This window comes from Homo sapiens, chromosome 21 (genome assembly GCF_000001405.40).
Source record: "Homo sapiens chromosome 21, GRCh38.p14 Primary Assembly".
Lineage (NCBI taxonomy): Eukaryota > Metazoa > Chordata > Mammalia > Primates > Hominidae > Homo > Homo sapiens.
The window spans coordinates 43,684,245-43,698,666 of NC_000021.9; the positions used below are offsets into that span (position 1 = coordinate 43,684,245).

The window sequence follows — 14,422 nt, forward strand, 5'->3', positions numbered from 1 at the left end:
GTATTTTTAGTAGAGACGGGGTTTTGCCGTGTTAGCCAGGATGGTCTCGATGTCCTGACCTTGTGATCCACCCGCCTCAGCCTCCCAAAGTGCTGGGATTACAGGCATGAGCCACCGCGCCCGGCCTGAACATGCATTTTTCAAAGGTAGTGCTTGTGCTCCTGGTTGCCAAGTCCCAGCACAAGCTTGTTTAGCCTATCTGTTGCCAAATGCTTCAGTAAGGGTTTCTCTTACTAGCAGATGTAAATGGCCAAGTCAGGCAGTGTTGTTTGGCTGCAGACTTATGTTTAGTTTCTCTTCCTGCCTAGTTTGACTATAAGGCTGTTGCTGATCGACTCCTGGAAATGACCAGCAGGAAGAACACGCCCCACTTCAACAGGAAGCGCCTCTCCAAACTCATCAAGAAGTCAGTAACTGGGGAGAGGGTTCTGACATCATCATTCCTTTAGTTCTCATCTCCTGGTGTGGGACAAGCCATCTGCATGCTTATCTTTTTTCTTTCTTCTTTTTTTGTCCTTTAATGCTTTTGTGTATAGCAATGTAATAGACACATGTAAACTGAAAAGCTTAATGGAAACAGCAGTCCCACCCCTCAGGTTCCATTCTTCCAGTGCAGCCATACTCATCTCTTAGCTGCTTTAGAATGATGTGAAGTCTATTCATGTCTAAAATGAACCAACCAGAAACTGATGTGAATCTGCTATTTAGGTGTCTTCTGCTGGTGTGCTGCTGAGATAGATAGGGTTAATTCTTTACCTCTCCCCTCCCTCCCATATGGCTATGCCAAAAGTGTTAGTTAATTCAGCTGTCAGTGTTGATGTCACTCTGACCATAGTGACATGATGACCTGGAATTCATGGAGGGCCTCGTGTGGCTTGCTGTCATTGGTGACAACAACTGTCTGATCACACTCTAGGAGCCGGGCACTGCTCTGAGCACTTTGTATACATTCAAGTATTCCATGTTAAGCCCCCAGAAAGTAGCTCCTGTAGTTTTGCCCATTTCCCAGCTGGTTCTTAGGGCACAGGATGGTCCTAGCTTGCCTGAGGTCCCTGCCATCCAGTGTCTCCTCCCCCATGCACCTCCCCACACTGCGCTTCGATGCGTCTTGTTTGTTCTAATGCACAAAAATTGTGTGAAGCAAAACATGGCTTCGCCTTTCTCCACTGGAGAATTGAATATGAGAGAGATCTAAGCTATTTCTGCCTTCAGAAACAAAAATTGAATTTCTTAGTTTGATTTGGGTGTGCCAAGATGCATCTTTGGCCCGCCGTGTCCTTGCTGGTATTGATGGTAACCGAGGGCGGCACTGGCCTTGAGCTTTTTGGCTTTTGTATTGCACCACCCTTCCCTCACAGAATTTCCTGTCTAGCCTCCCCTCCTGGAGGAGAACGTGAATTAACAACTATTTAACTATGGCTTGTATTTTAAAAATCAAATACATATGTCTACAGAAGACAGAAGGGATTTCTTTATGAACATTTGTTATTTTTTTATTTTTTATTTTTTATTTTTTTATTTTTAGATTCCAAGACCTTTCTGAAGGTGAGGCGCGCCAAGAATCATCATTCATGGTGTTTTTCGTGAATATGGACCCCACTGGGGGCGTTGATGCCAAACGCTGAGAAACAAGATTGAAAGAACTTTACTGAAAACCTCTGATAAGAAATAATAGTCCCTAGCCCAGGCAAAATAGCAAGGCCACATCTCTACTAAAAATGAAAAAATTAGCCAGGCGTGGTGGCGTGATCCTGTAGTCCCAGTCACTTGGGAGTCTAAGAGGGGAGGATCGCTTGAGCCCAGGAGGTCCAGGATGCAGTAAGTTGTAATCACACCACTGCACTCCAGCCTGGGTGACACAACAAGACCCCAACTTTTAAGAAAGACAGACCAGCCCTTACCTAGTCATACCGCAGTACAGCGTGGGAAGTGATGCAAGCCTAGGGCTCCCTGCAGCCTGCCCACCTTCCTATCCTGGGCTCTCCCTAACCACCAAAGCAAGAGGGCAGACTGCTCTCATGTGTGGGTACTGCGATGTTTTGGTTTGGTTTTTATTATTTTAACTAGATGGATTTTCAATGGCCTAGGAAGGTTTTAATTGGATACTCTATGAAGGTAAAAAATGTAATTTCTCAGGATCCCTTTCATTTGCTCTTATGGTCAATGGTCCCCCCGGGAAAGGCTGATGCTGTAAGCTTTGTTACATTTGGACAAGTCAGTGAAGTTACCCCATACCCGTCATTCACTAGGGACACTTGGAATTGGGAAAGGCACCAGCAAGCTGGTTGGAATGCAGAGACTGCATTAGCCAAGCGTCCGGGGTCCAGCCATGGAGGGTGTCACCGAGGGCTTGTGATCCCTTGCCTTGCCTTGGTTGAGAAATCCACAAAGCTTTTTTAAGTCTGTAATTCCTGTGTCAGCAGCGCTCAGGTTTGGGTGGGAGAAACGGTGAGGAACGATGATGATGAGGCAGAAATTGGGAGGGGTGCTGCTCTTAGGCCCCTGGGGCAGAGTCTTGAGCGCCTGGGGAAGCTAACAGTGTGTCACTCTGGCATCTAGGAAGCAGTATATCTCAACTCAGTTTTGCGGAGGACATTTCTGCTGATGAAGATGACCAAATCCTCAGTCAAGGAAAGCATAAGAAGAAAGGAAATAAACTTTTAGAGAAAACTAACTTGGAAAAGGAGAAAGGTAAGCTGTAAAGCTAAAAAGAAGGGCACGACTCAGCCCTTGGGGAGCGGCATGCACCATGGAGGCCTCGGAGACTTGAGCTCGTGCCGTCATAAAGCATTAGCAGAGCCCAAAGCTTCAGTCTTTAATGGCTGAGAGGTAAAGGCGGTTTTCCAAGTGTTGTGCTGTTTTTGGTGGAGCCGCGTCCCCACCTCACCCCGCTCACGTCCGCCTGCTCTCCAGGGCACCTCTGCAGGGAAGCAGGAGCTGCAGGGAGCACTGGGGGGCGGCTGTTTGATGACCACTCGAGATCTATGGTTTTTACCCTTGAGCCCTAAAATTAGTGGAAATGGGACTATTTCAGTTCCATATGTGTTTATAAACGGACAGAAGGAAGGCTTCCAGTCACAGTTGGGGATGGAGGAAGTGGGACCAGACGACAAAGGTAGTGGGCGCACCAAGTACCTCAAGGGAGACAGGAACTTTCCTCGTGGTAGAATGTCAGGAAATTGCGTCCGCCAGTCATACTGTCTGAGAATCGCCAGCAGGACTCTGGCCCAGCTGGCACTGGGTGCTTGTTGATGGGTTTCTGTCTTTTTAGGAAGCAGAGTCTTTTGTGTAGAGGAAGAGGACAGTGAAAGCAGTCTTCAAAAGAGAAGAAGGAAGAAGAAGAAGAAGCACCACCTGCAGCCTGAAAATCCAGGCCCAGGGGGTGCAGCCCCATCCCTGGAACAGAACCGGGGCAGGGAGCCCGAGGCCTCTGGGCTGAAAGCCCTGAAGGCACGTGTGGCCGAGCCAGGTGCAGAGGCCACGTCCAGCACTGGGGAGGAGAGTGGCTCCGAGCATCCTCCAGCCGTCCCCATGCACAATAAAAGGAAACGGCCACGGAAGAAGAGCCCGAGGGCCCACAGGGAAATGTTGGAATCAGCAGTGTTGCCCCCAGAGGACATGTCTCAGAGTGGCCCGAGTGGCAGTCATCCTCAGGGACCTAGAGGGTCCCCGACAGGTGGAGCCCAACTCCTAAAAAGGAAGCGGAAACTTGGAGTTGTGCCCGTCAATGGCAGTGGCCTGTCCACGCCGGCCTGGCCTCCATTGCAGCAGGAAGGCCCTCCCACAGGCCCCGCAGAGGGGGCGAACAGCCACACCACGCTGCCCCAGCGCAGGAGGCTGCAGAAAAAGAAGGCAGGGCCCGGCAGCCTGGAGCTCTGTGGCCTGCCCAGCCAGAAAACAGCAAGTTTGAAAAAGAGGAAGAAAATGAGAGTGATGTCAAACTTGGTGGAGCACAACGGGGTGCTGGAGTCCGAAGCTGGGCAACCCCAGGCTCTGGTAAGGTGGGAGCACCCACAGGCCAGCTCGCCACAGAGGCACTCACTCGCGTCCATGGGGCTCCACTGCCTCCTGAGAGGAAGGGTGGGGGCTGGCGGCCAGGCCTCTGGACTCAGCAGCAGTTAGAATAGGGTGTGTTCATAACAGCCTTCACTAAGGAGGAAATCACAGGTGACCAGTACTTCGGTCCTCCTCATCGGCCACCTTCACTCCCTTAGGCCACATGCTTGGGTTCGGGAGGGCCCACTCCAAGCTGGGAAAGTTATCCCTTGGGCCAGGCACTCCTGCCCCAGGCGTGTTCAGGCCAGTCTAGGCCTCTGTCAAAGGCAGGTCTGGTTTTCTTCATCAGCGCATGGCCAGTCCAGGCCCCTTTGGCAAAAGAGGAAGCCCAAAATTCTCTTGCTTCACTCACCTTCTTTTCTATATTCTTTTCTTTTCTTAGCTTCCCCCCTACCCCCCAGCTCAAGAAACTTCACTAGCAGGACCACTTATCTTCTTAATGGAAAGACTTTCCTTCCACTTTGATTTCTAGAGCCAGATATAAATGAGGAACCAAGCTGTTGATCTGGTCTTGGGTCTGGCTGTGTCACCCAGGCTGGAGTGCGGTGGCACAATCTCGGCTCACTGCAACCTCCACCTCCCAGGTTCAAGCGATTCTTCTGCCTCTGCCTCCCAAGTAGCTGGAATTACAGATACACATCACCATGCCCAGCTAATTTTTGTTATTTTTGTAGAGACAGAGTTTTGCCTTGTTGCCCAGGCTGGGCTCAAGCAGTCCACCTGCCTCGGCCTCCCAAAGTGCGGGATTACAGGCGAGAGCCCCCGCGCCTGGCCCTGATCCGCTTTTCACACCACCTCTGGGCGCCCTGGGCTTCCAGGCCAGGGCCGGCAAACGTAGTGTCACTGCAACAGAGCCACATCCACTTGTATGTGCAGGTCTGTGGCCACTTTCATGCTGCAGCGGCAGAGGGGAGTGGTAGAGACAGAGACCTGCGGTCTGTAAAGCAGAAAATAACTCTGCCCTTCACAGAGTTTGCGCACCTTGGTCACCTCTTGGTTTGCACACACCGCTTTGCGGAGATTATGACATCTCTTGTTTAAGTGGACATGTGTGGACCTGGTGAAGCGCTGGTTTGGGGCTAAGAGTGTCTGCAAGTGGCTAGTGAGTGAGTTTATGGTCAGGAAAGCCTTACCCAGGGGCAGCAGTGCACTGAGCTGGACGGCAGGAGGCCCATTTCTAGCCTCGAGTCTCTCCTACCTCACAGTGCCGCCATCTCCTCCCTGGACTGCAGCCTGCCCCTCGTACCCTCAGCGCTGCTCCCTCACTAAGAGGGCCAGAGACATTGCCTTTCTTGCTGTCGTCTCAGGCCCCTGGCAGCCTATTGTAAAGAGGATGGGGTGTTGCTCAATAAGTCCCAGGGTCAAGGGAAGCTTTCCCCTGCCATCTGTCATGGCACAGGGAAGGCGCACAGGAGAAGCTCCTCGGGCTTCCCTGCCCTCCAGGCGGCACACTTGAACCTGCCGGAGCCACCCGTGTGTCGGCAGCGGCACTGGGCTGCCCACACCTCTGAGAGCCAAGTACGAGACCCGGTCTCTCTCTGGGTGGCTGTCAGTTGCTGCACACGCAATGAGTGTCCTGGGCCTGCCTGTGAGGGACCCACAGCCCCACATGGGCATCACTGTCCTCCACACCAGACTGCCAGCGCAGTGACGATTCAGCTACAAATGGGAGAGTCGATCTTATTAACAGATCGGCTTTGAAAGGCCAAAATCCCCATTTTGAAGATGAAGATAAAAGTGGGTCCTTACTCTGACGAGGCGTTTTCATCGCCCCTCTTGGCATGGTGCCATGATAGCGGTCGTGTTGTGCGTGAAGCCTGAGCTCTGCCGAATGGAAGGGCTGTCTGCAAGTGCGGTGCGGAAGACCGCGGGCCGTCGGGTGGGCTGGATCTGCCTGGGGCTCTGCCTTCCCCTCCTGTGTGTGTGGGCAGCACAGGAGGCTCTGTCGTCTGACCCCTCCTCCGCTTCTCACCCCTCGCTCACGTAGGGAAGCAGTGGGACTTGCAGTTCCCTGAAGAAGCAGAAGCTGAGGGCAGAGAGCGACTTTGTGAAGTTTGACACCCCCTTCTTACCAAAGCCCCTGTTCTTCAGAAGAGCCAAGAGCAGCACTGCCACCCACCCTCCAGGCCCTGCCGTCCAGGTACGCACCCTCCCCAGAGTGGCACAGCACATTTCACCACAAGGGCACAGATGGGCTTGAGCTGACAGTGCTTCCCATGCCGGGCCTGGAGCCCCACTGTGGCCCTCTGAGCCTGTCCACAGTGGACAGGTTCCACGGCCAGGGTAGCATAAGGTCTGAGTGGTCTGGGACCCACCCTGAGGGATCACAGTCAGGAAGGGGACTTTGAGGGGCGGTTGATCCACACATTCTGCCTCCCAGGGCTTCCGGCTCAGGGTTTGCAGAAACCAGTTTTCTCTCGTGAAATGTCACAGTGTTAAACACAAGTGGTGCAAGTCAGCAGTAGGAGGTCCACACAGAAATGTGGGTCAGAGCAGGAACTTGAGGCAGTGCTTCCTGATGCAGGCTGGATCCACTTCCAGGAATGTAAGTAGGAAAGAAGATAGTTGATTGTGGTGAACTGTTGGGATATGCAGATAGCTCAGAGTCCTTGTGCACAAAAAGCTGGAAACTGTGTGTCCATTGTCCATTGCAGTGAGATTCCATCATAGGCATCGTCTCATCGATGTCATAGAGTCTTCAAGTTAGAAGTTCAGAACTCTCCAGCAAAAGGCAGGGGAGTCTTGGCATTTTTCCTCACGGGTTCTCAGTGGTGAACTGTTTTTAGGACAGTTCAGGCATCCTCTCTGTTTGCCTTTCTTCCCTGGATCGTAGAACCCTGCAGCGGTAATGAGGCAGTGACCGCAGATGGGCCAAGAGTGTGGGCACCACTGACCCTGGGCTGGGGGGTTGCGTGTGTGGGACGCTGGGAAGGACAAAGGGCGGTCCTGGTGAAGCCCCGACAGGAGGGTCGGTTTCAGTCTTGGCCGCAGTCCCTTTGGCCTCTCCCTATATGTGCCACTCAGTAAGCAGCAGTGTGGGCGGCATACCCTCCAGGGCAGGTTCTCCAGAAAAATCTGACTAAGCGCCTCCACTGCACTTGCGTCACTCCTTTTGTTCCTGTTATTTCTCTTCTGCAGCTAAACAAGACACCATCCAGCTCCAAGAAAGTCACCTTTGGGCTGAACAGAAACATGACTGCCGGTAAGTGGGGTTTTGCCAGCGGCAAGCTTCTCTGGAGCACAGCTGCAGCTCCTGGCGCGGCTCGCAGCCTGGTTCCACAAGGCGGTCGGGGAAGAGGGGGGTCCTAGCTCCTCACTGCCCATTTCTTTATTTTTATTTTTTTTTTTTTTTTGAGACAGAGTCTCGCTGCTCTGTCACCCAGGCTGCAGTGCAGTGGCGAGATCTTGGCTCACTGCAACCTCCGCCCCCCCAGGTTCAAGCGATTCTCCTGCCTCAGGCTGCCGGGTAGCGGGTAGCTGGGATCACAGGTGCACGCCATCACATCCAGCTAATTTTTGTATTTTTAGTAAAGATGGAGTTTCACCATGTCAGCCAGGCTGGTCTCAAACTCCTGACCTCAGGTGATCTGCCTGCCTCGGCCTCCCAAAGATCTGGGATTACAAGCGTGAGCCACCGAGCCCGGCCCCTCACTGCCCATTTCTGAGTCAGAAGGAAGCACCTATGTGTCTGTCCCTCATCCTCAAAGGGCTGTGAGTGGGGTGCCAGTGGTGAGTGGGCAGCCAATTGCCTGGGACCTGTTAAGAGAAGCTACCTGGTGAGACGTGATCCAAAAAGCCGTTTTCCCAAGTGTCTTTCTAAATACTGAAAGCCGTCCCATAGAGAGGCCATTTGAGATCGTAGTGCTCCATCAGCTGTAGCTGTCTCTCTGCGAAACTTCGGAACCACTTGCTTCTTGGGCGACAGAGAAGGGTAACCCCTATCTTCCTACTTTTCATATTGGTGCCATCCATTCGAGTTGCTTTTACAAAGGAAACCAAAGTTTTAAAAAGTAGTATAGGCCAGGCGCGGTGGCTCATGCCTGTAATCCCAACACTTTGGGAGGCCAAGGTGGGCAGATCATGAGGTCAGGAGTTCGAGACCAGCCTGGCCAACATGGTAAAACCCCGTCTCTACTAAAAATACAAAAATTACCTGGGCGTAGTGGCAAGCACCTGTAGTCTCAGCTGCTCGAGAGGCTGAGGCAGGAGAATTGCTTGAACCCAGGAGATGGAGGTTGCAGTGAGCCAAGATCGTTTCACTGCACTCCAGCCTGGGTGACAGGCTGGGTGAGACTCCATCTCAAAAAAAAAAAAAAAGTATTATAACGAATTTAGGACCTGACTCTTGTTGGGAACTGCAAGTAATAGAGAGTATGTGTATGTGTGAGTGTGTGTACATGCACCAGTATATATGTGTGTGTGCGTGTGCATGCACACATGCGTGAGTGTGTATGTTTAGGGAGAAGAGACTCTGAGAGACTGAGGAGCTCACCCAGCCTTTACAACTGGAGAAAATGAACAGTACGAATCCTGCAGCTCCACATAGCACAGATTTGTCCCAGACACAAATGCCTGGTTCACTCATTGTCCAAAACACCCCCACCCCCAATGTTCACCCTTCCAGGAGCCACCCTACCAGCAGCTCCCCTTAGTCTGTGCAGGCAGCCCTGGGCCCTCCCTTGGGAGGGTGAGTTGAGGCATGGGATGTGGCCTCACTGCCCTCCTTTCCTCAGAAGGCTCTTGGGCCTGCTCTCTGCAGGGCCTTGAGATGGCCCTGCTTCGTCCTAGCAAGTGGGTGGGGTCGGCACCCAGGCAGGACGCTGTCTAAGGTGTTGAAGGGACAGCTGTCGGACCCACTTAATATGGGGCCTTGCTCTCATTTGGGACAGAATTCAAGAAGACAGACAAGAGTATCTTGGTCAGTCCCACGGGCCCTTCTCGAGTGGCCTTCGACCCTGAACAGAAGCCCCTCCACGGGGTGCTGAAGACCCCCACCAGCTCACCTGCCAGCTCACCCCTGGTGGCCAAGAAGCCCCTGACCACCACACCAAGGAGAAGGCCCAGGGCTATGGATTTCTTCTGAGGAGCAGCAGAGTCCCTTGTAAAAGACTGCTTTTGTACAGAATGCGCTATAAATTATACCTTTAAGAATGTGGGGCCTTTTTTATGATTTTGTAAGTTCCCATAAGTTGTGTGCACGAGGTTCTGAGAGTGCCCGCAGGCTGCTGCGTCCTGGCCCCTCTGTAGTGGCTGCGGGCGTCTTGGTTGAATCTTTTGCTACAAACCATGTTTGCGTTTGAGCTCTCCAGGATTTTACATTTTTGGGTAACCTCAGTGATTCCCATTGGTGTAGGAAATGAGACCCTCTCTGAAGCTGAGGAGAGCACGTTGATCTGAACTTTAAATCAATCAGTGCTGCTGGCACAATGAAAGGTGGAACTGCACTTCTGTTGAGCTCTCAGTTCTGCGGAATTTGGTACTCATTACCGTATTCGCCGTACTAAGTTGGTTTCTGTTAGTCTTAACAGTCTGTTTTCTTTTAAAAGCATGTAGGGCTTCATTGCCATGTTCTGTGGGTGTTTGGCAGGTTACCGATGGGGAAGATTCTTGTCACAGAATCAGCAATACCATAGTTTTTCTACATGTGCTCAGCTGGGGGTGTGGACAGGTAGGGGTGGGGAAAGAAGAGGCTCTGCGTTCTGGGGGCTTTTTCTTCTCCTCCCCCTACCCGGTTTCCCTCCCTGTTTTCCTACCTCTACGGCAAGCCCAAAGTGTCTTCCCGGGAGCCCAGCGCAGCCCCCGGCTCTTACCCAGGACCCCGCCCCGTGCTGAGCCTTCTGCTGAGGTCCTTGCGTGGAGCACACTCATTCCTCCAAGCCCTTGCGCTCCCGTTTCTCTCTCTCTCCGTCCACGTTCCAGCCGAGTCACTGCCTGACCGGCTCCATGGCAGCTCCCCATCTTCCCTAGAGGCTGCCTGCGCATCTGGAGCCTGCGCTCCGGCTCAGCGACCTTTCCTCTCAAATGCGGAAGCGTGCACTTACAGTTCAGACCGTTCTCCTGTAAGTTCATTACAAACACGGGCGGAAGGCACTCAGGCTTTCGTTGGAGAAACAGAAATAAGGCCTTCTTTTGAGCAGCGATTGCTGGATCATTGATCTGTTTGAGGAAGTGTCTGACCTGGGCCTGAGAGCTGGAGAAGGTGCAGATTCAAAGTGAGCGGCTCCTGAGGAGAGCCGCCAAGGCTGCTCGCCTTCTCCGTGGCTTCCGCAGCTACCGTCTGCACGGTGAGAGGGCACGGGCACACGGTTCGGGCTGGCGTGCAGCTCTCCCAGCCAGCCACGCTCTGCTCAGGCCTGGAAGTGAAAGCCGCCTCCTTCCCGTTATGCCCCCCATACAGGAGCCTCGGTTTTTCAGCAAAACGCGGCCAGTCCCCTTCTCCACTGCTGCCTCCCAGCAGAGGGCCCCAGGATCTCCAAGGTCCCAGCTATGGCTTTGGACAACGTGGCTTCGGCCCCTGGGGTTGCAGAGCTTGCATTGGGTTTACCTCGGTCTCATTCATTCATGGAGCCAAGGGTGGGGTTTCACCTGCGAACATCAGACTGACTTGCTGGCGTCAAGAGCAGTTGACTCACTGATGAAGGCCCTGGTGAGGAGAAAGCACTCTGTTCTTCGCCTACTCTGTAATCGTTTTGTCATAATGAGCCATGAAAAAAGTAATGAACTTGTGCTGTTAATCGTCACTGTAATGAGAAGTCTTACGTACAACATAGCTGTGGTGGCTTAATGGCTGCATTAGATAGGATCCTCACATCCCATTCAGAACCAAAACTGATACAGTGAAACAATTAAGGTGAGCAAATAGTTTTAACTTTTCTTTTTTTTTTTTAAGTTTCATTCTTCCTAGAATATTTTTCTAACAATTTTTATTTCAGCTTTAAAGATGGGTCATATAGCCAAACGGGCCATATAATCCAACATTGTTGAGATGTCTTAGGACATCTAAGGCAAAACTGGCACATTTGTTCTGCAGACTATTGCAGGAATGTTTTTTCCTAGCATTTCTATATTATCTGTCCATTCTGAGGAACCAGTGAATGTCCTATAAATGCACCTCCTGTCAAAACCATGCCTGAGAGGTCCCGGCTGGGAGTGACAGGGTGCTTCTTAGATTCTATTGGTCCTTCTCTCATTCTCCGAACTTACTCCTTTTTATGGGTAAGTCAACTAGGTTTACAGTCCCTTATTTTTAATGCCTAAGTTTTGACAGCAGGAAGAAAACAATTTTTTAAAAATTCTCATTACATAGACGCACAAGAATATGTCACATAAAGAAAATGTGTTTAGAATACTGGTTTTCTATTTACGCATGATATTTTCCTAAGTAAAATTGCCAAGTGGACTTGGAAGTCCAGAAAGGAAAATAATTTAAATTAATGCTGGTGATCTTAACAATATTTTGTAAAATGATGCTTCCCCCTTCTCCATGGTCTAGTCAATTTTGTACAATTAGGTATCTGACTTTACAAGTTTGTTATCCTTTCTAATTTTTACTGAACTGAAAGCACAAAGAAGACTACACAGAAAATCTGGAAACAGTTGCAGGTGTTGGGAGGAAGATGAAATCGAGCTGTCTTTTAACTTTTGTATGTGTTTTATCAGAATTTGCTGGACTATGCTGGCAAGGACTTTGTTTACGATCAAATTGTACTAGTGTCTGCAGGGTTTGTCAGTACTCGTCAAAGCCAAGTCCAATTAAAAAAAAAAGTCTTTGCCCTCCAATTTGTGTTTGATGTTGACTTTCAGTATGGGTAAAAATAGGCCTCTTTGGGAGCTGTTCCAGCACAGCAGAGTTGGGAAGATATTGGTGTTGGTCGGGTTTGAAAACAAGACTCTGGGTACCATTCTCTTCATCTCTCTGCTGCTGCCAGAGCCGGTGGGGGCGCTGCTCCGGGGATCGTCTCCAAGTGCTTGAAGCAGGCCTCACTGCGCACAAATGCCCTTGCTCACTATCGTGTCTAAAACATCACTCCACAGGCCTACGCTTGTGACGATGAGCGGAGAAGTGCCAGTGTCCCGGGTGGAGATCTCCCACTGCAGCCCAGAAACTGACTCCAGCTAGGGTGAGGCGGGCACAGGGAGGCTGCAGCTGGGTGAGGCGGGCACAGGGAGGCTGCAGCTAGGGTGAGGCGGGCACGGGTGGGCTGGTACCCAGCAGACAGCCTGTTCTGGGTGTTGGCAGTGGGTGTGGTCAGTGTTGGGCAAGCAGAGTACAGGCATGGCGGAGTCTTTATAGGCCCGTGTTCCCCGAAACAAATTTTTCACCTGTTCTTTGGATCCCAGACAAGTCCACAGACAGACACTGAACAAGCAAGCAAACAAAAACAAACCCTGGGCCAGGCGCGGCGGCTCACCCCAGTAATCTCAGCCCTTTGGGAGGCCTAGGCAGGCAAGTCGCTTGAGTCCAGGAGTTTGAGACCAGCCTGGGCGACATGGCAAAACCGTGTCTCTACAAAAAAAAAAAAAAAACAAATAATTAGCCAGGCGTGGTGGCGTGCATCTGTAGTCCCCGCTACTTGGGGGCCTGAGGCAGGAGGATTGCTTGAACCTGGGAGGTCACGGCTTCAGTGAGCTATGATCATACCACTGCACTCCAGCCTGGGTGACAAAATGAGACCCTGTCTTTAAAAAAAAAAAACAAGCCCTAGAGGAAGAAGGAAATCTGTTGTAATGTATTATTTAAAATGTCCAGTTTTCAACAAAAACAAGGTAAGACATTCAAAGAAACAAAAGAGTGTCACATACACAAGGAGCAGAGAGGCAATAGACTGGCTTTGAGGGCACCCAGGTGCTGATCTTAGCAGACAAACTTCAACCAGCCCTTATCAATATGTTCCCATCACTAAAAGAAACTATATTTAAAGAAATAAAAGATGGGGCCGGGCGCAGTGTCTCACGCCTGTAATCCCTGCACTTTGGGAGGCCAAGGCGGGTGGATCACCTGAGGTCAGGAGTTCGACACCAGCCTGGCCAACATGATGAAACCCCCGTCTCTACTAAAAATACAAAAATTAGCCGGGGAGGCTGAGGCAAGAGAATCTCTTGAACCTGGGAGGCAGAGGTTGCAGTGAGCCGAGATCGCACCCCTGCATTCCAGCCTGGGCAACAAGAGCGAAACTCCTGTCTCAAAAATAAAAATAAATAAAAGATAATATGATGACAGTGTCTCACCAAATAATACCAATAGGTATTTTTAAAAGAAACCAAATAGAGATATAGACGTTAAAAAGCACAGTAAGAGAAATCAAAACTTCAATAGAGTTGAGACCCTCTAGTGAAGTTTTTATTTCAGTTATTGTAGATTTGAGGCGGTAGAAGAATCAGCAAACTTGTAGATTAATAGAAATTATGTAATCTGAAAAAAAAAAATTGATGAACAGAGCCTCAGAAATGCAGGACCGCCAAGTGCCACAGCACACACAGCAGCAGGACCACAGGAGAAAAAATACTCAAAAAACTCATGGCCAAAAACTTGCCAGCTTTGAGTTTATCTTCCTTGGAGTGTGTAGAGTTTCTTAGATGTGTACACTGATCAAAAACTGCACACATCTAAGCAACTCCACACCCTCCCCCAAACACAGCTGAAATGATGAAACTCAAAATGTTGAAAGAGAAAACTTCAAAGCAGCCAGAGAAGGACTCATCACATACAAGAGAACCCCAGGAAGATTAAGATTTTTTTTAAACCTGATTCAGATTTTTTTTTTGACTTCTCATCAGAAAAAAAAAAAAATACACTGAAGGCAGGGATGAGATACTCAAAACGCTGAAAGAAAAAAGCCAAGAGCCCTTCTTAAGTTGAGGTGAAATTCACATAACCTTTTTTTTTTTTTTTTTTTTTAAGACAGTCTTTGTCACGCAGTCTGGAGTGAGGTGGTGTGATCTCGGCTCATTGCAACCTCCACCTCCTGGGTTGTTCAAGCAATTCTTGTGGCTTGGCCTCCCAAGAAGCTGGGATTGCAGGCATGCGCCACTACGCCCAGCTAATTTTTGTATTTTTAGTGGGGACAGGGTTTTGCCATGTTGGCCAAGGCTGGACTCGAACTCCTGGCCTCAAGTGATCTGCCCACCTCGGCCTCCCAAAGTGCTGGGGTTACAGGCGTGAGCTGCTGTGCCGAGTGGCATAATCATTGTTTAAAGTGTACAGTTCAGTGGCATTTAGTGTTGGGAAAAGGGCTTGTGGAATGCCTGTATAAACTGGCCATGAAAATATGGGACAATAAGTTGTGGAAAGCCACAAGAGGCCTCTGAGGAGGAAAGCCTCCTAATCGCCATCATGTTCGCATGCTCAGAGTGAGACCCGCTCTTA

General features: G+C 50.5%; 1 protein-coding gene across 1 annotated transcript in view, besides 1 other annotated feature; it reads left to right on the forward strand.

Annotated features, from left to right (window-relative positions):
• Positions 1-11,835, forward strand: part of RRP1B (ribosomal RNA processing 1B) — a 36,520-nt gene extending 24,685 nt beyond the window's left edge. Inside the window, exons 10-16 of the mRNA NM_015056.3 lie at positions 309-406; positions 1,526-1,545; positions 2,560-2,691; positions 3,272-3,996; positions 6,044-6,196; positions 7,195-7,258; positions 8,946-11,835. Coding sequence (NP_055871.1) covers positions 309-406; positions 1,526-1,545; positions 2,560-2,691; positions 3,272-3,996; positions 6,044-6,196; positions 7,195-7,258; positions 8,946-9,139 — 1,386 coding nt within the window. The 3' untranslated portion in view covers positions 9,140-11,835. The remainder of the gene's footprint in view (positions 1-308; positions 407-1,525; positions 1,546-2,559; positions 2,692-3,271; positions 3,997-6,043; positions 6,197-7,194; positions 7,259-8,945) is intronic.
• Positions 3,872-4,001: a silencer, noted in NCBI's record as "silent region_13363". NCBI's record gives its function as "represses an Ori minimal core promoter by ATAC-STARR-seq in GM12878 lymphoblastoid cells {active_cell/tissue: GM12878}" and the evidence as "EXISTENCE:reporter gene assay evidence [ECO:0000049][PMID:35858748]".
• Positions 11,836-14,422: the final 2,587 nt, after the last annotated feature.